At 45.7% G+C, this 2013-nt stretch overlaps 1 annotated feature.

Annotated features, from left to right (window-relative positions):
* Positions 245-324: a silencer, noted in NCBI's record as "silent region_2119". NCBI's record gives its function as "represses an Ori minimal core promoter by ATAC-STARR-seq in GM12878 lymphoblastoid cells {active_cell/tissue: GM12878}" and the evidence as "EXISTENCE:reporter gene assay evidence [ECO:0000049][PMID:35858748]".

Genomic DNA, 2013 nt, shown 5'->3' on the forward strand with positions numbered 1-2013 from the left:
TAGTACCAGAATCGTGTCTTATACACAAGATCTAATTGTTCAGCAGAGGATGCAGCCAGCCCCTTTCTGAGCTCCACGTGCTTCCTAGCCTCCCTGGATCCCGGGATCTGGACTTGTAAATGTTGCTTGAGAATTCTCTTATGAGAATCACAGGCACTAAGCTGTGTGTTCTTCAGGATGTCTGCAGTGACAGCTTATCATGAACTGTCAGGAACTGTTGAGAAGGGCTTACGATGATCTTTGTAAAAAGAAACATCTCGTAAGAGTCAGGACTCTGGGCGGCAGCGGCAGAGGGAGGTGCTGGGGGCGGTGGCATAGCGCCCACACCGCGTGGTCCCCGCGCGCGGCTGGGCTGGCAGCGCCCCAGGCAGCGCGCACGGTAAGCAGGAAGCTGCGGCCGAGCTGAGTCGCTCAAAAGCTACTGGAGCTAATAGATTGTGGTCATGAGGAGAGCGGCAGCATCTCGGTAGTGATGGGAACACTCAAAAGCATCATCAAAACAGTTGCAGAAACATGCTGAGCTCTGCACTCCCGAGCCCGTGCCTGCTGCAGCCGGCTTGGAGTTTGCTGGTAGCCACTGCAGCCCCGGCCCCGCGCGTCCAGCCTGGGGGTGCGATGAGCAAGAGAAATGAGGTGCAAAATGTTGCATCCGCGGAGCTGCTTGCAAAAGGGCAAACCTGTTTCTGAAGCCCCTCGCCCGTTCCCTGGTGGTTGGGCAATGCTTGTTTCTCTTCCTGCTGTACCCACCCCCATCTCCATTATAATTTTTTTCCTTCCTTCCTTTCTTTTTCTTTCGTTCTTTTCTTTTTTTTCTTTTTTCTTTTCTTTTCCTTTCTCTCTCTTTCTTTCTTTCTTCCTCTCCTCTCCTCTCTTCCCCTCTCTTCCCCTCCCCTCCCCCTCTTCTCTTCTCTTCTCTTCTCTTCTCTTCTCTTCTCTTCTCTTCTCTTCTCTTCTCTTCTCTTCTCTTTTCTGATGTAAAGGCATCGGGTTGTAACTTCAGGTTTCTGAAACATTGAAGTATAACGTCCACTGGGGACATGGCCTCTTCCCGGTGATGGTGTGGCAGGTGCCAGTGAGAATTAAGATGGCACAGGGAAAGGGGCAGGAGTTGATTTACCCCTCCAGGAATCTGCATTTCTGATTTTTCTCCAGAGTCCAGCTGAGAATTAGGGAGACCAGAACCCCTGTTACCTATTGGTTGTGAGGTATGCCTCAGTGCCCTTGGGGGTTGGCTAAGCCCTTCTTAGTATCACACTGCTTTTACATCTTTTATTATTTTTATTACTTACTATTTTATCTTTTAATTGTGAAAATAACACGTTTTACCATTTAACCCATTTTAAGTGTATGGCTCAGTGGCATTAAGTATATTCACATTGTGCAGGGATCTCTTTTTAAATATTAGGTTAATGCAAAATAATTGTGGTTTTTGCCATTAAAAGTTAATAAAAAGTGTTTAGTTTTTTTGACAGCCCATAATTCCACTAGAAAATAACCATTATGTAGAATATACATCATTCTGGTGTATACTTTTCTAAGCTTTGTTCTGTGCTTCTTACTACCACCCCTTCCCCAAATTGGGATCATTTAGCTTTGCAAACTGTTTTCCCCTCCCTTAGATTTTGAACTTGCTCCCTAATGGGGTCTCAATGAAGCCACTTCATGTACCTTGTGAACAGAATGGCCGGGGAGTATGCCTTTCCATCAATATCTTGTCACTTTCAGACCCTGGCCATTTGTTGAGTCAACAACTTCAGTGTGCCCTGCTCTTGTGTATCAGGGAAGGAAATAATAATAATAATAATAATAATAATTATTATTATTATTATTCCAATCCTTGACTATACTATGAAGCACATTAGAGCTCAGAAAAGCAGCAGCACTTCTCTCCTCCGTTCCCGTTCTCACCTTGATCACAGCCCTGAAGATTTGCCAGCAGAAGTAAAGAAGTAATTGTTCCTGCAGATTACAGCTCTGCTATTCAATAAGGGAGAGTCTATTCCTCATCCCCTG

This window comes from Homo sapiens, chromosome 10 (assembly GCF_000001405.40).
Source record: "Homo sapiens chromosome 10, GRCh38.p14 Primary Assembly".
NCBI lineage: Eukaryota > Metazoa > Chordata > Mammalia > Primates > Hominidae > Homo > Homo sapiens.